The sequence below is a fragment of the Homo sapiens genome, chromosome 4 (assembly GCF_000001405.40).
Source record: "Homo sapiens chromosome 4, GRCh38.p14 Primary Assembly".
NCBI lineage: Eukaryota > Metazoa > Chordata > Mammalia > Primates > Hominidae > Homo > Homo sapiens.
Genome location: NC_000004.12, coordinates 24,190,802 through 24,214,291, shown reverse-complemented (window position 1 = coordinate 24,214,291; position 23,490 = coordinate 24,190,802). Strand labels below are relative to the sequence as shown.

The 23,490-nt window shown below is 40.8% G+C and overlaps 1 protein-coding gene and 1 long non-coding RNA gene across 13 annotated transcripts in view; one reads left to right on the top strand and one right to left on the bottom strand.

Annotated features, from left to right (window-relative positions):
• The window catches only part of PPARGC1A (PPARG coactivator 1 alpha), a 680,885-nt gene that overhangs the window by 258,614 nt on the left and 398,781 nt on the right, over positions 1 to 23,490 (top strand). The window lies entirely within an intron of this gene.
• On the bottom strand, positions 5,015 to 6,321 carry LOC124900679 (uncharacterized). Its single transcript, XR_007058075.1, has 2 exons — positions 6,245 to 6,321; positions 5,015 to 5,229 (listed from the first exon to the last, which is right to left on the bottom strand). It is a non-coding gene; the product is annotated as an uncharacterized LOC124900679 (long non-coding RNA).

Sequence of the window (23,490 nt, the reverse complement as noted above, 5' to 3'; positions counted from 1 at the left end):
CTGTAGTTGATTAATTTGCAAATGATATTCCCAATAAAGTGCTTAGAAGTAGATAATTACAACTATATTAACAGTTCTCAGGGAAGCAGATGGTATTCTGAGGAGCTGCCATGTAGCATTAGTGCTGATGCTCCACTGTAATGTACCATCCACCCCAGAAAACCACAAACAACAAGCGCAAATCCTGCTGATATTCCAGATTGGGAGGAAATTGTGCTTTTGCCTCACATTCCATTCTGATCGGAATTTTTATGTGTGTTTTCTTGATCGCTACAGCGCTCAGTGAACTGCTTCGCTTTATGTTGAGTCTCATAACTCTCCAACTCTGTATTTCTGAATTAGCCCCATATTAAGCCTGCATGAAGCAAGTTTTTAAACTGTTCATCAGTGTTCCTCCTACCACACCAGATATTTTTAAGCATAGATTATCTCTGTACAAACATATAATTTCAATTTCCTAAATTACCTGAGCTAACATCCCATGTTAGATAATCAATTAAGAATATTTGGAGGCAGAGAAATCTTTTCCTTTTTCTCTCTCCTTCTGTGTTACACACACACACACAAACACATGCACACACACATGCCTGGACATATGCATGTACGTGTGTATGCACACATATGTACTCTTTTCTAGGTAGCATCAATTTTATAAGTTGCTTGATAAGAAGGGACTTTTTTCCAGCTTCCAGCTCCAGGAAAAAGGCCGCAATGTCATAGCGTTTCTGTCTGGACAGCTATACATCAGGAGTTGTCCTTCCAAAGTAGGCTGGAGTTACATAAGTGTTAACACACAATGGGGTGTGAGAGTTAAAGGAAAAGAATCGGCCGGGCGCGGTGGCTCACTGCTGTAATCCCCGCACTTTGGGAGGCCGAGGCGGGCGGATCACGAGGTCAGGAGATCGAGACTATTCTGGCTAACACAGTGAAACCCCGTCTCTACTAAAAATACAAAAAATTAGCCGGGCCGGGTGGTGGGCGCCTGTAGTCCCAGCTACCAGGGAGGCTGAGGCAGGAGAATGGCGTGAACCCGGGAGGCGGAACTTGCAGTGAGCCGAGATCGCGCCACTGCACTCCAGCCTGGGCGACAGAGCAAGGCTCTGTCTCAAAAAAAAAAAAAAAAAAAGGAAAATAATCAGTTGTGCCCTGACCAGCTGAGACTCGGGGGCGATGGAGTAGGGCCTGTGGGTTTCCAAGACTAGATTAGAAGCATGACATGAAGACTCTTTGGCAACTGCCATTGGGTCTTTGCTCTAGGTCAGGCTGGCAGGTGTCCACCAACAAGGCTGATTTTGTCCTGTCAAAGGCCTACCTTCAGGTGCTGTCGTCTCTAATCACTGCTGTCCTGGAGGGGATATGTGTAGACCCTTGCAGTAGGCCTGGAAATGACCACGCTCTTAGGTATGTCCCTAATTATTTATGCTAAGAGAGTAGGAAGGGACACAACCATTGTTGTCTCAGCTTTCCTTGGGTAAGAATGGGCTAGGAGGATACGTGTGGGCTGCCAAGTGCTTAGTGCTTATTTAAAGCTGTCTTAAAGCAGATGCTTGCTGGCTTTTCTAGAAGCAGGCCTTGTGGTTCTCGCTGAGGGCTTACACATTAGGGGGCTTAGTTTGTTATGCAAGTTGGCTCCAGGATCCCCAACAAGTTGCCCAATTATCACCATAAGCCTTTTTACTGTTGATGTACACTAGAGGATTTTAGTTTTAGCTGCCATTTTTGAGAGTATACCAGGCACCAGGCATTGTTATAAATACTTAGAATACATTATTCCATTTAATTCTCATGACACTTTGGAAAATAGAAAATTATCTGCATTTTACAAGTGAAGAAATGCAGCTAGAGACTCAGAGAGGTTAAGTAACTTGTCCCAGATCACACAGCTAATACATGTCAGAGTTGATACTGAAACTTTAATCTGCCTATTACCAAAGCTCAGGCCCTTAATTATGACATTATTCAATAGTCAGTTATGGTATGAAGTTAATTCATGAACATTTCTTTCAGCACCTAGAATGTTTTTATAGGATGTGCAGATATCAAAGCTGCATGATCGGTAAACAATGCTGCTTTGATTTTATATGGATTGTGCTCGAAGATCAAAGTAGAGCCTAGGAAAGACATGAGAGATGTGGTTTGAGTGAGAAGTTGGACTTACATCAAGAAACGTCTTGAAGATTATATGAAAGAGTTTGGACGGCATCCTCCAGGATGTGGGGAAGCCATGAGTATGCAGGCAAGTGAGTCACATGATCAGATGAAGTTGTAGAAAGGGCGTAGAAAGACGTGTTGGGGAACGGTGAGCCAATAGACGAGGAATCTAGTTAGGAAGCCTTTGGAATAACCCAGAGAGTGATGATAAGACATTGGCTGGCTTAGGCGATGAAACAGTAGGAAATAGCATCGTGGAGGTAGAATATACCTGTGCAAGAAAAATTATAGCTAATATTTGTTAGTACACTACAGCCATATACTTATTATTGTTTTGCTCATTTAAAAATGTATGGACTCATTTAATTGTTACAACATCTCTATGAAGTAAGCTGTGTTAATTTCCCTATTTTACAGATGAGATGGAGGGACAAAATGGTTAAGCAACTTGCCCAAGGGACCTACGTTTATAAGTGGCTGAGCTTGGATTCCATCCCAGTCCATCTCACTCCAGATCTCGAGATCTGGCCAATATGGTATCAGATTCTGAATCAAGGTGAAGTTCAGGGTCCAACTTACCTTTTCTTAGATATACTAGCCATGCACGCACATAGGGCAGATACACCTGTCTATGTAGGACGAAGCTGGGGACACAAGAAAAGGGAATTGGCCTTAGTAAATTTGCTGGTTCTGTTGGTGTCCCCTTCTGTATCCTGGCAGCTCCTTCATTGCTGCACTCAGGGGAGTGACATTCAGCTTCCTTTCTAGTTACCTCACTTAGGTAAGAATTACCTTCTATATTGAAGTCTCTGGTGAAATTGAGATCGGAAAACGAGTTCAGAACTGTCTTTGTAACTTATAAATGCATATTTTGGGCACACGGCTTAATATCTTTGAATTTCAGGTTTCTCATTGTTTAGAAGAGGATGATAATATTTTTTCATCTAGTCACGAGTTTAAGGAATGAATATTAAGCACCTACTATGAGCCATGCACGTGCTAGGCAGGCTCTGGGAATAACAAGACATGAAAAAGTTCTTGCCTGTGCCCTTAAGAAGTTCAGCGTCTAGAGTGGTTGATACAAGTAAGTAAGTAAGCAACTGCAATTCAAAGAATCAAGGAGATAATATTCATTACAGTTTTAAAAAATCTGAAGTGCTTTAAAATGGTGAGCTATTATTGTTATTAACTCTATTAGGGAGAGTGAGGAGAGAGAGTCAGAAAATGCCAGAGAAATCTAGGTTGGGGTTGAGCTCCCTGCATCTCCTAGGCTCCCACTGGGAGAGGTTCCAGGAGTACAGTGCCCTCCGTTGAAGGCGCCGCAGCTCCCGCCTGCTTTTGACCTTTCTGGAGAGTGCTTGCATGAACACACTTCATTTTCAAAAGTTTAAAAATACGCACTTGGAATTGTAGATGATCAAGCATGAATCCCAGACCATAAGTGGGTGGGAGAATTGTGCTGATCTGGGAGTGCACGGGGCCACATGCCCTTGCAATTTGACGTCAGCACAGTCCAGGAGGTGCCCAGCGTCTGTGCCCCTCTGCGTGGTCAGTGTGTGATGCAATGTGTTTTCACAGACTGTGAATCAATTCCCTCCAGGGAAAAAAATAACAAAACACTATGCTGATTAATTGGATAGATCACTGTTGAAATTCCTGATTTTGCAATATTTAAGTACTTTCTCAGCTAAGATGGTGAAATAGGGTAAGCAGAAAATAAAAGCCACATGCGTTTATTTTACTCAAGCTCCTTCCTTTTAGAATGTTAGCCTTTGAGTTTCCAAATTGGGCAAAGAAGTGATTATCAGGAATACCTTAATAAAAGGTGGTATGATCTCTATTTAAGAAAACAACTTTATATTTATAAATCCTTTGTATTTTTGGTAGCACTTTAATACCAGTGATCTTATTTAATCCTTCATGCCAACTTTGTAAAGTAGGTGGAACATTCATAATTAGATTGCAGATGATGACACTCAGGACAGAGAATTTTTGACCTTGTTCAGAGTCCTCAAACCTAGGACAAGGAGGGGAGGAGAGGGTGAAGGAGGTGAGCATTTATTGAGCAATTACTATGTGCTAGGTGTTTAGTACATAATTGAATTTGATTTGTCATACAATCTTGAGAGATGACTGTTCTTCTTCCCGTTTTACAGATGGTTAAACCAAGGTTAATTAGAAGCTAAGTTGGGGATTTGATCTTAGATCTCCTTGAGTTTAAATCAATAGTCCTTTCTCTAGTCTAATGATTTCCAGCATTCTCTGATTATGTGCTCCTATCAGTAAACTTTTCTGAGCATATACCTCCAATAAATGTGTATTTGTTTATATACAAATTGTATGCATGTACTATTGTACTATTACTTTATGAGCATAATAAAGCATACACATGAAATAAGAACATTAAGATGCAGAGATATGAATGGAAGACACACTGTTTTCTTTCTGTACCCCATTTTGTAGACTACAATCTAGGCAATGCTCCTTTCTTGGCAAGTTAGGGGCACAGGTTCATGCCTACAGCTCATAGAAAAATCTACTAGCTAGCACAGGATACTTTAGGGCAGGACTTCTCAGCAGTAGCACTATTCACATTTTGGACCAGATAATTCTTTATTATGAGGGGCTGTGCTGTGCCCTGTAGGATGTTTAGTGGGATCTCTGACCTCAACCTACTAAATGTCAGTAGCAGCCTATGCACAGCTGTGGCAACTGAAAATGTCTCCACATATTGCCAAATGTCCTCTGCTGAGGAACAGGGAGAAAAATTTCCCTGTGTTGGGAGCAACTGCTTTAGGGTAATCAGTAGGAATGTTCTCCTCCTCCTTGCTGATGCCCAAAGAAGAAGTCATCAGGCAGCACCTGTTTGGAAGACATTTTATTTTGCCTGTTTTAGATTCTTCCGGAGGACCCCTGGGCTTGGTTCCAACCTGTATCCATCAGCTCCTGAGGTTGGCCAACCAGAACGGAGGTCTAGCTGTTCAGTGATGAAACCGGCCTTTGAATGGCTCCTGTCCCCATGCATATCACATCTGATTTTAACATCTCATTCTTCACTGCCGATGACTTCGACAAGGCCTAGTGTGGAAGACCATAATGGTGCATTGTGGGGTATAGTGGGCTTGGTAGCTAAGAGCATGGGTTCTAGAATTAGGTATATCTGTATTCAAATCTGCATTCTGCCATTATTATCTGTGACCTTTGAACAATTCCCTCTACCTCTCTAAGCAACTCTTCCCATCACAAAGTGCTGATAAAGCATAAAGAAGAAAACACTCTCATTATAGAGTTGCAATATTTAACACAATGACTGTTCCTAGCTCTTAGTAGTAGCTATTATTTTGATTATGAGGATAATAACATAAAACACTTTTGCCTGGCACATAGTAAGCACTGGATGAATTATACGTATTACTGTAATATATAATATAAATATGAATATATATATATATATATATTTTTTTTCTGAGTTTGGTGAGTTTGATTGCAGATTCCATGAAGCAGGGACCAGACTTGCCTGATTTGTCTTTTGGTCCTTATTGCCTAGTTCAGTCTGACATATAATGGGTACTCAGTAATTATTTGTTATGAGTCAGTAAACGTGTGTATTTTTCCATGTAACCATCAAAACTGTGAGATCACTGTCTGTTTTGGTCTGTTTTACTATCACACATAGTGGCCCTGGCTAGGTAATGCCCCTAGAAGTTCTCCTGTCCACTTTATCCCATGCAGCCAGGGCAATGAATGAGTATATTCACTTCTACCATGGAGGGAAGGCAGTTCGAACTTCTCCCTTCCTCTCTCCTTCCCTCCCTCCCTGCCTCCTTCCATCCTTCTCCCTTCCCTTCCATTCCCTTTTTTTGAGACAGGGTCTCTGTCACCCAGGCTGGAGTTTGGTGGGATGTTCATAGCTCACTGCAGCCTCACACTCCAAGGCTCATATGCTCCTCCCATCTCAACCTCCCTAGTAGCTGGGACTACAGGTGCACACCAATGCGCCCAGATAATTTTTAACATTTTTTTTTCTAGAGAGAGGGTCTCTTTATATTGTTCAGGCTGGTCTCAAACTCCTGGTCTCAAGTGACCCTCCCACCTTAGCTTCTCAAAGTGTTGGGATTACAGGTGTGAGTCACTGCACCCAGCCCCAAACTTCTTTCTTATGACTTGAAGCTCATGGGAATTCTTCAAAATTTTATCTAGCCAATGGAAGGGCAGAAACTTAATAATCAGAATTGTCTAATTGTTCCATTAGATTTGACTGTGATGACTGTTGTCATGGTATTTTCCTGAATTCTATTTCTTAATGCAACTTTGTTTATATGGTTTCAGGTTTTTTATTTATTCCTTATTTCCTCTGGCTAGTTTTAGAAAAATTAGAACACTTTTGTGGCTTTACAGAAAAAAACAATAAGTTTTGAGGCTGAGGAAATTTTTTTAAATTGGGAAGACATCAAAAACGTCAGTAAATCAGGCATCACAATGCTTGATAAATTTAGGAGAAAATTGATTGCAGCAGCAATAGCTGATTTAAACTAATGCCTGGTTGTGTCATTACTCAAACACACACAGGAGCAACATCAGTTTTAATTTCTGTCTTGTTTAAAAATGAGCAAGTTTCTTTTCAGCAAATGACTGTTGATGATCTGCCTCTTTACATTAAAAAGGGGGAAAATTTCCACCATTTTCTGACTTGCTGAAGTATGTTCTTCAAATTTTTAGCACTTCAAACCTATAATTTTCAGAATATGTTTTATAAAAGTGAAATTGGCAGTTAGGGCCTGTTTTGTGTTTGTATGGGTATTGGGACTATGTTAGAGAGGTGTGTACATAAGTATGCATGCGGTTTCTGTCATTTAAATGAGATATGCAACTGGAATGTCCCTTTTGTTCAAAAAGTGTGAATTCAAAAATCATATTGCCTTTCAACTCCATTGAGTAACCTCTCTTTAGGTATTAATGGAATGAGTGAACAGGATCTCCCATTTTGCCTTGTCTGGTATCACTCAAAGACTGATTTTATGTTAAATTATGTATAATTACCTAGCTACATCAAAACATTTAAAAAAATTTGAGAGCAAGACTAGTCCCATTATTCCTATTGCATCTAGGGAAGGACATTGTGATTCAAAGGAAGTAAACAACTGAGAGACGGAGGGTTTAAAGCTTCTTTTCTCCCTACCAATTGTAAAAAAATGTGAAAAATATAGAAAAATATAAAAATCAAAGGAAAATTTAAAACATGTAACATTGCAACCCAATGTTAGCTTTTTTTTTTTTTTTTTTTTTTTTTTTTTTTTTTTAAGGTGAAGTCTTTCTCCGTCACCCAGACTGGAATGCAGTGGTTGCAATCTTGGCTCACTGCAGCCTCCACCTCCCAGGTTCAAGAGATTCTTCTGCCTCAGCCTCCTGAGTAGCTGGGATTACAGGCACGTGCCACTACCCCCAGCTATTATTTTTTTGTGTGTGTATTTAGTAGAGGTGGAGTTTCACCATGTTGGCCAGGCTGGTCTCGAACTCCTGGCCTCAAGTGATCAACCTGCCTCAGCCTCCCAAAGTGCTGGGATTATGGGCATGAGCCACCATGCCCCCTGGCCTCCAATGTTAGTATTTTTTATATGGTCTTTGGCTTTTTTTATAGTTAAGTTCAAGTAGGACAGTTGAGACAATACTGCGCAAATATTATTGTATCCTGATTTTTCTTTCATGTAACTTATAGTCATGTTTCTGTGTTATTGCAAATTTATAGCAGCTTCATATTTTCATTGGTGAGATAATTGAGACATTTTTCTATTATTAGAAATTTAGCTTGTTTTCATTATTTTTGTTACACATAACTGAAGACTTCTTAATTTAGGTGAGAAGGCTCTGGTCCGGGTACTTGTTTTAGGTCTCATACTTTCATCATTTGCCTACACTTCCTTCTGTGGTATCTTAACGTAGCTTCTTCACTAAGCAAAATGGCTTGGGTTATTTGGCCCTTTATTTTTTTATTAAAATGCCTACATCTTTAGCAAAGGCTTGTTTCAGGCATAAAAGACCCAGGTGATTTATTGAAATTCACCTTCAACTCTTGACCTTGGCAGGGAGACATTTTTGCCCTCAGCCCACAGAATGGAGATATAGTTGCCTTCAGCCATGAAAAGGATCTTGGCTGGACTTTGCCTTGCCTTTTAGAGCTGAGTTTTAATAATTCAAAGTTTGCTTCCTCCAAACCTACTTTAAATCTTGATTGTCAGAGGTTTCTTATGTTTAGCCATATATTGTGCTTACTGAATATGGATTATTTGATACAGAAAATGTATAGTTTATTAACTGTAGTCACAGACATTCCAATATGAACCTGCAGCAGAATGAATCTCAAAGATTCTGACTCTGACTTTAGTTTTTTGTATATGGGTGTTGTGTTTGGAGCAAAAACTGCACCATATAGTGATCATATTCCAGCCTAAAGATGGATCCCTCCTGTTCAGGTTGGAAGGATAAGATCGGAGCGTGTGGGTGTGTGCAGGGTTCCTGTGAGGGCAGGTCAAAGGTGCACATTTTGAACATTTGCTTATTTAAGTTTCACCTTCTTCTAATTTCACATCATAATTTTTATAACAAATTCTCTGCTAAATATATGTATATTATAGTAAACATGTACCTTTATACCTGAAGCCTCTCATTTTGGTTGGGGACTCTAGTTTTTCAGCCAGTGGTTCTGGCTAATTTTGTCTTCCTTCTGGTCTTGACTCTCTTGATCATACTGGCGGTGACCACTCTCAGTCTGGTCTAAAAGGAAGTTTCTACTCATCGAAAAAGTATATATTGAGCTCTTATTATGTTCTAAGGGACTACAGAGATGAGTGAAATGATTCAGTATGGGATACAAGGGACTGGGTGATGCTTTTAAGATGCTCCGGGATCAATATCACTAGATATACAGGGTGCCCACCTTATCAAAATGTAAGAAGAACACATGGTTTCTGTTGCATGCAGTTTTCCTGCTGCTGACACTCAGTTATAAACTTGCATGAGGCTGGGTGCGGAGGCTCATGCCTGTAATCCCAGAACTTTGGAAGGCTGAGGTGGGTGGATCACTTGAGGTCAGAAGTTGGAGACCAGCCTGGCCAACATGATGAAACCCCATCTCTACTAAAAATACAAGAACAATTAGCTGGGCGTGGTGGCGGGTGCTTGTATCCTAGCTACTTGGGAGACTGAAACTGAGAATTGCTTGGACCCGTGAGGTAGAGGTTGCGGTGAGCCGGGATTGCGCCACTGCATTCCAGCCTGGGTGACAGAGTGAGACCCCGTCTCAAACAAAAAACCAAACAACCAAACAAAAAAACGTGAATGGTCTCTAGGTATGTGTCTGTCAGGCCCCCTATCTCAACAGGAATGCCCAGGTAAACCACCCCATAAACAACTAATATGGTACACAGAGGTAAGTGCAAGGGAGTTGTGGACAAAATGTTACTGAGTCGCAAAGGAAGGGTGATGCCTTTGGCACTCACTCTGATATTTACACCTCCCCCGCCAGTTCTTACTCTCTGCTTCCATCTTTCTCAGGGTTATGTGGATGTGGCCAGGCGTAGTTTCCAGGAGAATTACTATAGAAAGAATTTCCCTTCCCTTCCCCTGCCCTCCCCTCTCTTCCCCTCCCTTTTCCTTCCTTTCCTCCTCCCTTCCTTCCCTGTCCCTCCCTTTCAGTCTTACATTTATTTTTTAATTTATTCAACAAATACTTATTATGCAGGTACTATTTACCAGGCTGGAGATACAATGGTGACGAATACAAAGGTTTTTTGCCCTCAAAGAACCTATATTCCAGTGGTGCAGCCAACTAGCACTGATTAAAGGACCAGATTCTAATACTCCATGTGGAATATTTCAACTACAATCAAATACTGCTGCTGCTGTCTTAGCAGAAAAGCCCCTTTTGGCTCCTTGTAGGCCCCTTAACTCTTTACTGGCCCAATGTGAGTTTTATTGACATCATGCTGTGTTCCTAGGAGGCCCTCATTAAGTACTTGTTGGTCAGCTGGCTGATTGTGCAAGTTTTCTAACTGATACTATACTTACCCTTTAAAATTTCGTTTTCAACATCTTGACTTTTATCTCATTTTCAGGCAGAGGCTCCACAGGAATTGACTCAATGGTGGTTTCAGTTCAATATCTATAATAAGCAAATCCCTTAAACATGTATTTCTGGAGGTTATGCTCTACGCTAGCAACTTAATTTCAGAGTAACAATGAACCATACATTTTTAAATGAACACTTCAAAGCACCTATAGGCATAGAGTCAAGTCCACTGCATCTGAGTAATCCAAAATTTAAACCACGCTAAGTAAGTTCTTTTGCACGTTCCTTTTCTTTCAAAGAGCTCAGAGCAACTTGCAAGTTTTATCTCCTTGATCCTCACATTATGCATCAGATGTTCACAATGGGGTTCATCATTGCCTCGCCCTCTGCGAGTCTGCAGGCAAAAGGATGGATTTTTATATTCAAAGACGTTTTATGCCTTTGCATTTGAAAGATGAACTCATAAATACTTCTTTATTCTTTCTCTATTTTCTCTTTCTTTTTCTATCTCTCATCTGTCTTTTTCTTTTGTTTTCTATCTTTTGCTTCACTTTCTTCAAATAGTTTGTTATTTCTGAATTGAAAGAATAGATCCCAAGCATTGCTCATTCTGGGCTCAAGCAATTCTCCTGCCTCAGCCTCCAAAGTAGCTGGGATTACAGATGCCTGCCACCACACCTGGTTAATTTTTATATTTTTAGTAGAGACAGGGTTTTACCATGTTGGCCAGACTGGTCTCGAACTCCTGACCTCAAGTGATCCACCTGCCTTGGCCTCCCAAAGTGCTGGGATTACAGGTGTGAGCCACCACGTCCGGCCTGGTCATTCTTAATGAAACAACTGCAGAAGGTTTTCTGTGCTCTTACTTGCCTGGCGATCCACTACCTCTCATCTGGAAGTTTCCTTGCTTCCTCACACTCCTCACCTTTCCCTGTGTGGACCACAGGTTGGATTTTAAAAGCTGTGACCTGTTAAATTGATAATGATTCCTTTTCAGAGCTGCCTGTCTGGTTATGGATCCCTAACTGCTCCTGTAAGTCCCTTTTGGGGCCACAAACCTTTCTGGAGAAAGAGCCTCTTTCTGGCGAGTGGCAGACACCCCCTAGATCTCTTCCCCATGGATTTGGTGACCTGCCCTCTCTAAAGGTCACTGGCACTGTGGACTCTTTAAAGCTTGTTTGTCCTGGGGATGGCTTCAGGGGGCACTGGATCCCTGCTGTCAATGACTCTTTTCTGAAATAGGGGCAGGGAGATAAGGAGAGTTCATGTTGCCAGGTAATGACCTCGCTTGGACTCACTTGAGAGAGACAGTGGCAAGAGGAGCCTGGCAGGTAGCTTGCTTGGAGGGGCCTGGCAGAATGATGAATGGGCTGGCTCTCTGCCCCAGGGAGAGTGGGCAGTGTCCCCTGTGTCCCCAGAGGGCAAAGGAAGAAGAGAGTTGACTCATATGGACAGTTTTCCAACCTTTTGCCACAATGCTTTGATATATTCAAGTTTTGGGGGTCATTTAGTATTTATTAATGTGTCCACTATGTAGAAGATGTCACTTTGTCAGCTTTCACCCCAAAACACTCTACTCTTCAGAAGACTAGGGACAGTGGGAGTACCAAGGCCAGAAATGCACTGAATTCATGAACATCTCTTGAGAACTTTGCATGTGCCTGGCTCTCTGTTACGTTCAGTGGGACCACAACAACAACAAAAAGTACAACATAGTCATTATCTCTTGTGTTTTTGGGCCCCGAGGCAGGCTATATGAAGCAGCTAGGAAACAGTGTCTGACTGTGTAGAAATGAGCTTCACGGGAAAATGAATTTGCAATATTATTTAAAAATTGCAGTGAAACTAGAAACATCCTGATGTCCATCAGAATGGGAGTGCTTAAAAGTGATGATATCGGCCAGCCTTGGTGGCTCATGCCTGCAATCCCAGCGGTTTGGAAGGCTGAGGCGGGTGGATCACTTGGGCCAACATGGTGAAACCCTGTCACTACAAAAAATACAAAAATTAGCTGGGTGTGGTGGTGCACACCTGTAGTCCCAACTGTTTGGGAAGCTGAGGCAGGAGAATGGCTTGAACCTGGGAGGCGGAGGTTGCAGTGAGCTGAGATCGCGCCACTGCACTCTAGCCTGGGTGACAGGGTGAGACTCCATCTCAAAAAAAAAAAAAATGATATAACCAAACTGAAGAATATTTTGCACCTGCTAAAAAGATGCCATAAATAGAACTATAGGCAATGACATTGAAAGATTGCCAAGAATATTTGTTAAGTGGAAAAAAAGGATCTTATTTTCATTATGAGTCACTTATATTAAAAATAATTATATATGTTTATGAAGGTAGGTAAATGCATTGAAGAGAGACTTTCATAATTTTTATGTGTACTTTTGTTTTTCTATTTCATAAGGATAATGTATTTATATGTTCCTTATATAATCTAAAAGATGAACAAGGAAAGCAGTGAAGATTATATGCAATTAGAAGAGAGAAGGGACAGAGTGAGTGTTCTCCTTCTCTATTCTACGAATATTGAGCCACAATCTTATTTGAACATAAGACAAACTTGGCTGAAGTGCTTCTTCTCAGGCCTGGGCCTGGGGAGTAGCCGCAATAATCAATATGACTTTAAAAATGGCTGACTCTGCTCGTGAACAACACCCAGGTGGAGGGATTCACCATTTGTCTTCATTTTCTCCTTCTATCCAAAGTGTTTGTGTTAGTGGGGGTGAGGGTTGGCAATGTAACTTTTGGCCCCTTGTCCTCAGGAAAGTCATAACATGACTGTTTAAGGTTCTTTTCTGCAGTTACTTTTTTAGACCTTGACAACTGCTGAGATATGAAAGAGCTGATATTGTATTTATGGCTCCAATTTTATTTTACAGTGATACTGGCCACATACTAATAAAAATAGGTGCATTATGGTGATGTAGTTTTATGGCATATAATTTCTAAATACTTAAGTGCTCAGGAGCTATTTGAATGTATATGTTCTTTTTTATAACAGATAATATACTCATTGAAGTAGGGAGTCTTGTCTTTTTAGCTGGTAGGTATCCCCTATCATGTAGAATGGTACCTTTTTTTATAATGGACACTAAATAAATGTTTGCTGAGTGAATAAATCATTGGATTAATGAATAGAGTGAATAGTGTCTGATGTATTGTTTTAATAAGAAACATAGAAAACAGAGTCACTTCAATACAAATGAGGTCATAGATTGAAAAACCATATAAAATATATCTGTCTTTCCAGGGAAATTCCTTGGGCCATTTTTTAAACTCTGAAATCTTTCTAAACAGAAAAACACAGAGGATAATATAGCAAATGCAAATGCCTAAGAAACACCCATGTGTCCCGTATCCATATTTAACAAATGCTAACAATTGTCATGTTTCTACTGGAGTTTTTTTTTTTTTTTTGCTTAATAAATAAAACATTTTGGTTACATTAAAGCTCCATTTGTCTGCTTTCCAATCCCATTTCCCTGTTTCATATCTCAGAGGTAACTGCTACTCTATAGAAAGCTACATGTGTTTTTATAATTTTACTTTTTTTTTTCTTTTGAGTCAGAGTTTCGCTCTTGTTGCCCAGGCTGGAGTACAGTGGTGCGATCTCAGCTCACTGCAACCTCTGCCTCCTGGGCTCAGGTGATTCTCTTGCCTCAACCTCCCAAATAGCTGGGATTACCGGTGTCCACCACCATTCCTGGCTAATTTTTGTATTTCTAGTAGAGACAGGGTTTCACCATGTTGGCGAGGATGGTCTCAGACTCCTGACCTCAAGTGATCCACCTGCCTTGGCCTCCCAAAATGAGTCACTGTATCTGACCTATACTCTTACTTTTTATGTAATAGTATTACACAGTCTAGAGTCTGGTGAGTTTTCAAATTGACATAGTGGTATCATGCTGTATATACATCCCTTCTATGACTTGCTCTCTTCTCTCATTATTTATTATTTATCTATATTTTTAATATTATTTATCATCTCAATCTATTTCTCTGTGTTGATAATGCAAATCTAGTTTATCCATTTTAACTACTCTGTAGTATTCCATGATTTATTTATTGTCTGTTAATAGATTCCTATTCTCGTGTTGGTGCATATGTAGGTTTTCCCCTCAGTTTTTCTGAATTACTAATGGTGCTGTCAGCAACGTCCTCATAGATGCTACCTTTTGCTGATAACAGTGTTCCTCTTGGGTATGTAACCTAGAAGTGAAATGGCTTGACTGTGGGAGAATTATATTTTCAACTTTACTAGATATTGATCAATTGTCTTCCAAAAAGGCTATACTAATTGACAATCTCAACCAGCAGTGCAGGGGAATGACCGCTTCTGTATATTCTCACTAACACTTGGTATCATCAGAGCCTTACACTTTTGTTTTTTGAGTAGGAATTTATTTCTCGTGGGTGATGGCTGTTACAAAGTTCAACTCCTGCCAATGTGCCTTATGCCCCAGATTTGTGTATTGTCATGTAGCCATCTTACCATTGCTAAAGCCATTCCTTTTACTAGGAATGCCTTTCTTGCCTTTGATCGGCAAACTCCTACTCATTCTCCAAGTCTCAATTAAAATGTCCTCTGTGGCACTCTCTCTGATTCCCCAGGGTCATTTGTGGTTCCCTCCCCTTGCTCCCATAGTTCTCTGTACAGATCTCATTTGTTGCACTTATCACGTATTATTATTATTATTTTCTGTGGCTGTTTCTATCACTGGACTGTGATAGTCTCCAGGACAGGTATGACATGTACCAAGTTCAGGTTTGACCCCCTTGCATTTAGCCCAGGTACAGCTCAGAAAATGTTTGTTATGGAAATGTATGAGTAAACAAATGAATAAGCTAATCCAACAAAACCTGCCAAGTACTCTTCTAAGTGTTGGGGATGTAGCAGAGAACCAGTCTGTTAACTTTCTGTTCTTGAGCTTACGTGTATGGGGTGGGAATGGGGAGAGAAAAGAGACAGACAGTATACATCCTTCTTCCAATCAACAGAGACCCTGCCAGGGGATAAAAACAGCAGGGAAAGAAGGAAGAGTAGGGTGGCAGAGAGGGCAACAGATGCTGATCTGTCCTGCCTTATGTCCCTTCAGCCCACCTTGACTTCAGCTGCAGCTGAGGAAGATGTCTTTTGCTTAGGACAACTTCTCATCTCTGGCACTTTCTGCTCAGAGTGTTCTCCATAGTAAGGAGCTGCTTATACTGCTGCTGCTCTTCAGGACCAGCCTGTAGGTGCCCCAGCCCTTCTCGCAGACAGGCTGGGTTCTGATTGCCCACAGTGATCACCAGCTCAGCTTCTGCCCTTTATTGGCTTTCTCTCATACCACCTTCCCTTCCCCATTCCCTTATTCCAGCTTCCCTGAACCACAACTCAAATAAACATCCTGCTTCCATGTCCTGGCCTTAGGCTCGAGGAACCCAACCCAAGACAGAGAATGCTGGAGGGGCTGCTAATTGCTAAAGGGTTTGTTAGGAAAGCACTTTTTAAACGGGGGACCTGACTGAAAAGAGAGTAAGCTTGTTGACACTTGGAGGAAAGGTGTCTCAGAGAGAAGGAACGGCAAGTCTAACCCTAGCCCTGACCCTGAGGGGGCATGTGCTTGAGAAACAGCTAGGAGAAACAGCTGGAGCAGAGGTGAACAAGGGAGAAAACTGGAGATGAGATCCAAGTAGGAGCAGCGACCCTGTAAGCCAAGGTAGGGAGTTTACAATTCATTCTGAATGAATGAATTGGATGGATCTGAACAGAGGAGAGGCAGGATGCAAAACTGTAGTTTGAGATGAATGCATACATGCATGCATATTATGCTTGAAACAGATATAAGCAAATACTTTGGTTATTTAGAGGTTCCAATTTATGCAGATCTGATGGGCATTTGTATTTCATGAGACAGTGTTGAATTACAACCATTTTGGTCAGAACTGATTTGCTTACATGCTTAGATAGCCCTGAAGCTAGTTGCTTTCAAAAGTTGCTTTGCTTTGGTATGTCTGTGTAAGACTGAGAAGTATGAAGTGAAGGAGGGCAGTAAGAATTTGAGGACAGTTGGAATTTCACCAGGTACCAAGAATTTTAAGAATGATGTTTCAGGCTGCAAAGAGATCCCAGAGTACTTTATGCTTTGTGATGGGTGAATTTAAGTCCGAGTGTCTCCTACCTAGCAATGTTTTCTAGCAAGTGAACTAAAAGTAAAGGTAAGCTTTCCTCACAAAACCAAACCCTACAGCTAAAAGGGATGTTAGCTAATTCATCAGGTCTGTGAAGAAGGAACTGTTAACTGGCAGCTCGATGACTTCTGCATTCCTTGTGGTGAAGCCATGCAGGATTGTTGGGTTCTGTGGCACTTTCTCCTTTGCAAGGTGGCACCACCTTTCTTTATTGCTGGATTTTTTTGAAAGAGACATTTATGGTGTGTATTTATTGCTTTGTTGGACCCTGATCAGATCACAGAATAGGATGATTCAGATAAATGATTTCCCTTCCTCTTTAAGTCTTAGGAGCAACAGGGCCTAGCCATACAGGGAATGCTGGGAGTTTGCATGTTAAATTATTCAAGACAGATTGTCAAGGTGTGAGCACCAAGGTGGGACCTGGAGGAAGGAAGATGAGGCAAGTTCAAAAGAGAGAGAGGCCCTTTTCCTCTGTGGAAATTCAGGAATGAATAATCCCACTCTAATCTGACTTTCTGTGGGCCTTCCAATCATTTGCTCTGTGTGTATTAAATTTATCATCACTGGCATAGCTGGAAAATGGAGGTCAAATTTCATTTTGGCCCACAATGTGATAAAAATGACCTGCAAAAGGTAGATGGCAGGTTGTTATTTCATGCCCTGGAAAATAGCAAAGATCAGATAGATAGTGGTTCCTCACTGTCCTCCTTGATCCCCCCTTCTTGGGTGGCTAATACTAACTTTCCTTAGTAATGCATCATAAATGCACATCCTGATTTGTTAGAAGGGTGGTCAAGGTTTAAAACAAGAACAATCTATTTCTAACTGGCAATTTCCATCAGTACAGGTTGACTAGGCACCTTTCACCGTGTAAGTTTTTTATGGAACCACTGACAAGTCATAAAAATATCCAGTGCTCAAGCATGACATTCAAACACACTGTCTCTTCTGCTTATAGTTCATTGACTCCCAGAAGTCATCTATTTATAGCAATTAATGATTTCTAAGCAATTAGATCCCCCTGTTTCAACAACTATCATGTTGTAGGATAAATCCTTCCTCACAGAAATAAATTCAAGGGGCAGGCAGTTTCAGATATAGGAATAGAGGCCAAAGTTGGTATTTACAAGGCAAAGGAAGAAACCTTTTTGTTTAGCATTTGAGATGGACTAGGATTCCCATCAAATGAAGACTGTCAGGAATTGTGCCTACATCAAGAATTATTTAAACTTAGGAAATGCTTAACCTCCACCTGGCCTTGTCTCTGAGGATGAGAGGGATAGCACCTGCCTGTCACTGTTCCAGGGACAGCCTGGCTACTGCATTGCAGCCTTCTCCACTGGAGGTCCGTCATGAGTCAGTGCTACTTTTGCTTTGCTTTGCTTTGTAAAGATCATTGCAAGGGCTTATCTTGGGTAATTGTTATTACTACCATCTGCATTACGGTATAATTACCTTTCCAAAATGCTAGATCTCTTTAGCTGATGTTTAAAGATAAGTAATAGCCAAATAATTGCCAAGCCTTTGGATACAGAGCAAGGCTCTCCAATAAAAGGTGGGCTGTGTGTAAAGCATGCATTTCTTTCTCCTGTTTTCATTTTTCTCTCCTTCTCTGGGAGTGGTAAGGGGAAGACTGATTTTCCTCCCTAGCTCTCCCTTTATTTTTACACAGATTTATGACTCAGTTAGCATTGTAGAATTTATCCACATTCCAATCTGATATCCATCCTACACTAGTACACCATCCGTCAGGATGAGGGTGGTGGCATTCAACAAAGCTAACTTGTGTTAATCACAACTCATGGCAAGTAAATCCTCTCTCTATTCCTGAGCACTGAAAGTGAGAAATCAGATGAGATGAAATAGAGAGAAACCCCATGGCCTCTTTTGGATGAAGCAGAGAGATTTAGTGTGGTCTCTTTCCTCCTGACTTCCCAACTTGTAAATCAGTTGTTGATTGGGACTTCTTCTCTTGTGGCCCTTGATGCTCTGAGGTACAAGCTACAGTTTGGTGATTAAAGCTTGAGTGTATTTCTTTATTAGCATAATCCATTAGCAGAACCTTAACTACATGTGAACCTGGTGCTTTTGCTATAAATCCTAGAGTATCTAGAACACAAAAATAAGGATAGCGAGGCATAAAAATGAAAAGAATGGGAAAAATGGAAGAATATGAGGAGGGAAATATGGATTAATTGAAAATACAGAGAAAAAAGCTTGACAATATCATGATGGTTTGCATAAGGAATAAGTATTGAATTTATGGTCTTAAAATCGCTATTTAAAACCCTGCTTGCTGTTTGATGTTCTCATTTTTCTGGAAATTCATTTAATTACGCAAATCTGGTCCGAGTATTTACCTTCCCAAATTCTTAAACAAGTAAAACAGATGAATTACTTTGAGCTATGTGGACTCAAGGAGTATGTACAATATGCTCACAAAAAATTGAGGTAAGTACTAGCTTATGAAATACCATCATCTCACCTTTGCAGTGAGAACTTCTGGCAGACATAATAATTACTATTGTGGAGATACTTCATAATTGCAACCATTTGAGGGTTACTTTTTGCCACCAAACCTACTAGGCGTTTTATTAGAATTATGTCATTTAATCTTCACCACAGCTATATGGGTGAAATAATTATTCTTTCAATTTTACAGGTAAGAAAGCTAAGCCTTAGAGAGTCCAAAATCATATTAGTTAACAGAGCTGGGATTTGATTTACCTAAAGCAGGTGTAAGAGTCTGTACTCTCCACTGTTTCCATATAACATAGGTACTCTATTCATTTAACAGAGTAGATGAGATATCTGTATCTATATCCATAATCATACCTGTATCTATACAGATATATATTCATACATACACAAGTTTTATCTGTGATTGTACAGTATGACCATGGGATACCTTAGCTATTTGTCTACTATTATAAGCCAGGATTTATACTGGGCAAACCAGGAAGAATGCTAGTTTTGATCTCAACAGCTAACCATATTCTCTACTCCAGAGGAGAAAGTATGCTGGAAAAGATTTTGGTTGGTTGATATTTAGTTGTAAAGCTGCACATTAGTCTCTTCTCAGTGGAAATAGCATCCCTTGTCTTGCTCTGTTCCTACCAGGAATGAAACAATCATTTTAAAGGCATTTCATATAGCCTCATTTTAAGACATATCTGCACCCATCAGAGCCAACATTTGAAGAGGCAAATTGAGTAACTTCTTGATGGGGGTGTGTGTGTGTGTGTGTGTGTGTGTGTGTGTGTGTGTGCGCGCGCGTGCGCGCGCGTGTGTGCCAGCCCACTGGTGTCTGATCTTGGTTCTTTTGACATACATTTTATTCCATGTTCAATGACAAAACTGCAAGGGGTGCTATGGTAAACTCTGATACTTAGTGCGAGTGATTTAATCAGATGTTTCCTAGAGAAGCAGACTTGGATGACAGCAGGTAGAGAAAGCACAAGGACAGTGAAGATCTCATGGAAATTGAGAGGAGCAGTGGAGTTGGTGTATAGAAAAAGGATGCTAAAGTATCAAGGTAAACACCTTCTTCCCCATTTTATATTAAATCAGCTCTCTGTCTGGTTATTTAATTGGATTAACCAAAAAAATGAGTTGAGTCAGTACAGGCTGCTTTAATGGAAGTTCCTATACCTAGCACTAAGAAAATACATTAAATATATTCTTCCTACTGGAGAGTTGCTTCCTCCCGTAGTCTGTCGTACTGCTTCTTTTTCCTGTTGTTCATTGGTGTACTTTTTTTTTTTTTTTTGAGATGGAGTTTTGCTCCTGTCGCCCAGGCTGGAGTGCAATGGCACGATCTTGGCTCACTGCAACCTCCACCTCCCAGGTTCAAGCGATTCTCCTGCCTCAGCCTCCTGAGTAGCTGGGATTATAGGTGCATGCCACCAAGCCTGGCTAATTTTTGTATTTTTAGTAGAGACAGGGTTTCACCATGTTGGCCAGGCTGGTCTTGAACTCCTGGTCTCAGGTGATCCACCCACCTCGGCCTCCCAAAGTGCTGGGATTACAGGCATGAGCTACCATGCCTGGCCCCATTGGTGTACTCTTGAGCACGTTTCTGCTCTGTAGGAGGCACTGTGCTTGACTCTGGAGCACAAACAGAGAAAAGGCACATTGCCTGCCCTCACAGAGCTCCCAGCTGAAGGGGAAAACAGTAAGCAATCAAAATGCCCAGGGCTTCCTAAAACCCAGGAAGAAATTGACTTGGCCAGGAGTTGGGATACAGCTTGTAAAAGATGACATTGAACTCTGGGCCCTGAAACATATATGGCGTCCCTATGTGTGGAAAGTGGGGAGAGTTGGAAACTTTTCAGGAAAGTGTCTTTCAGTCAGATTTTCAGATCCTGATGAGACCTTGGGTAGCTTGCAATTAGGAAGGGTAAAACAGATCATTGCCCAGGGGTCTCACTGCGGGACACTCCCTGCCACGATGCCCTTCTAGGGAAGGCTGGGGAGAGGTGAGATGTTGATTTGAGTCATGTGTTCCTTTTTCTTGCATTCTTCTGGCATCTCTAGAATTGATGCAAATTGAATTTCAAAGCAAAGGTACCACTCCATGTTACTGTGGTAGAGATCCAAGTCATTGAAAACTGACTTCACCTTATACATTCCCGGCCTTGCGTCCTGCTATGTGTTGTTGAGTTGCAGCTAGAAGACAGCTCAGGTAAAGGCAACTCCATCAAAAGCAGATAAATGCATGTTAAACAAAGAAAATCAGAAGGCATCCAAAAAATTAAAATACCAAATAGTTTGATATTTGTGAGAAAAGTTACTAAACATCCTTAAATTTGCATTACGACTTAAATATGCTAAACTATTTGCATTTATAGACTCAGTAATTGATCTAGATATCTCCTCTTGCTTTCTCTTTTCTAATGTTCTGGTGCTGAAAAAAACAGCATTTCTAATTTACATGTCCAAATTAGTTTCAACTTACTTATATTGAATGATAATAGATTTCTTTTTCTTATAATTAATGTTGTCTGAAAACATAATACAGATTTAACTTATCATTGTAAAGATCTTAAGATTTTAATATTTTTGCAGAGGCATAAATACAGTGTAGCTATAATTATTTCATTATGTATGTATAAAAATAGGATACAGCAAAAAGTACATGCTTTCCCTCACTGATTACTCTTAATGTCTCCCAAATTTCCTGATTTACAATATTCTCTAAGGATGTAGATTTTTCTAATTGAAGTACAGTAATTTGCATATTTTTAGACCTTGTTGACACAGTTAATTGATATGTCATTACTTATATCATGCTGAATATAATTTACACTCTTTATTCACGGCAGACTTACAATGCTGTCCTTTTGGGGAAGATTTCACAAAGTACTGTTCTTTGTCTTGCTTTTCCTTTTTTGCTTAGCCATCCTTTGCCCAAAGAAAACCAAAAGGAATAATGTTCAGTTGGCAGGGTCTTCCGTTCAGCTAAACATTAACTACTGACGTAATCTAATAAGTCTTAGCACTGGGGGTAAGGCGTACATTTTTTCCAGCTGTTTACTATTTTCAGAGGACTTTCTCGTATTATTATCATCTCAATTAATTGTCATATAACCCTTGAGAAAGGGATTGTTACAATCCTGTTACCAGTGAGCAAATGGACGTTCAGGGAGGCCCAAAGACTGGTCCAAGGTCACATGTCTGGAGGACTGCAGAGCTGGGATGGGGAATAGTTCTTTTGTCTCCAGGACAACATTTTTCCCACTCCATTGCATATTTCACCAGACAGTAGGGAAATAGAACTAGAGGAGTATAAAAGAAAGAACAGGAAAATAAGGAAGAAATGCTAGTGGAGCCATGGATCAAACATATAAACTTAGAGGTGGGATACAAGTTCAGATCAGTGGTGTCCATCGAGGCGTGGCTGAAAGTTTTCATGTTTCTTGGTATGGTTGTACACATCCCCGTCTCCAAGAACTCTGAATGGGAGTGTTGTGTACTCTCTAAGGGTTGAGCCCAAGCTTTTTGCTTCTTTCTCACTCCCACGGTGCTTTGCTATGTTCAAATGAGGCACTCAAAAATAATTGTTGAATAAATGAATGGCATTCTTCAGAAGTTGGAGTTATGGCCTTATTGTTCTCATGATGGGCTGTGATTTTTATCTGTGCCAGCTGTGGCCACCCACACCCATCCTAATCACACAGGCCTCCTCTGCGAGATGAAATTACTTTTTGCCTTTCTCCTTTTCCTTCTTTTTTTTCTTTTTTTAAAGCTCCATAACTCAGGCTGGAGAGTTCTCTTGTTAAAAAGGTGGTTGGAATTTGGCCTAGCATTTACGTGGATGGCTAAAGATGTAGGATCGGCTTTTGGTGGATGTCCAAGTGTGCAATCCATCCAAGCAGCTGAAAATCACAACAAATGGAGTCCAGAAAGCATGCAAAGGCGAGACATTATCGTATAATGGAAAAAGCATTGGCTTAGGAACTAGACAGACCTGGGCATGGCTCCAAACTCTGCCATTTACTAGTCATGTAACCTTTTGCGAATCGCCTCCATGAGCCTCAGTTTACTTTTCTGCACAGCAGGACTCTAGTTAATGCATCCCTCTGAAGGAAGCTCAGAGACCAAGTATGTGAAATACATAGCCTGGTACCTGTCTCCTACTGGATGCTATTTCTCTTTCCTCATTCACGTCCAAGCTGCTGTTGACCCTATTTAGATGAGTTGTAATTTCTGCTCCGAGAATACATACAGCTCGATTCTTCATTCACAGATGTGGGATCATATAACTTTTTCATGCCTTGTTAATGTCACTGGTTTGTGTTGAGAACTGTTGAGCACTGCCTTTTGTCCACGGTCTGCACAAATAGAGGGGCTGCTGCTTTCTTCATCCAGCAGCTGTGTAGTCCTTTTATCTCGTGGAATCTGAAGAACAACTGAGCTGCCCTATTTTATGGAAGAGGGCAGTATTCAGGCACCCTGCAGGAGCCTTCTTTCTCTTCATTTGAAACCCTCTTTCCAATGAAGGACAAACTGATGTTCCTCTTGAGGGGCTGCAGCTGTTTATCGTAGTCCACCAGCGGTGGGAAATGGGCTGAGCTTGAGAAGGGAATGAGGGCTGA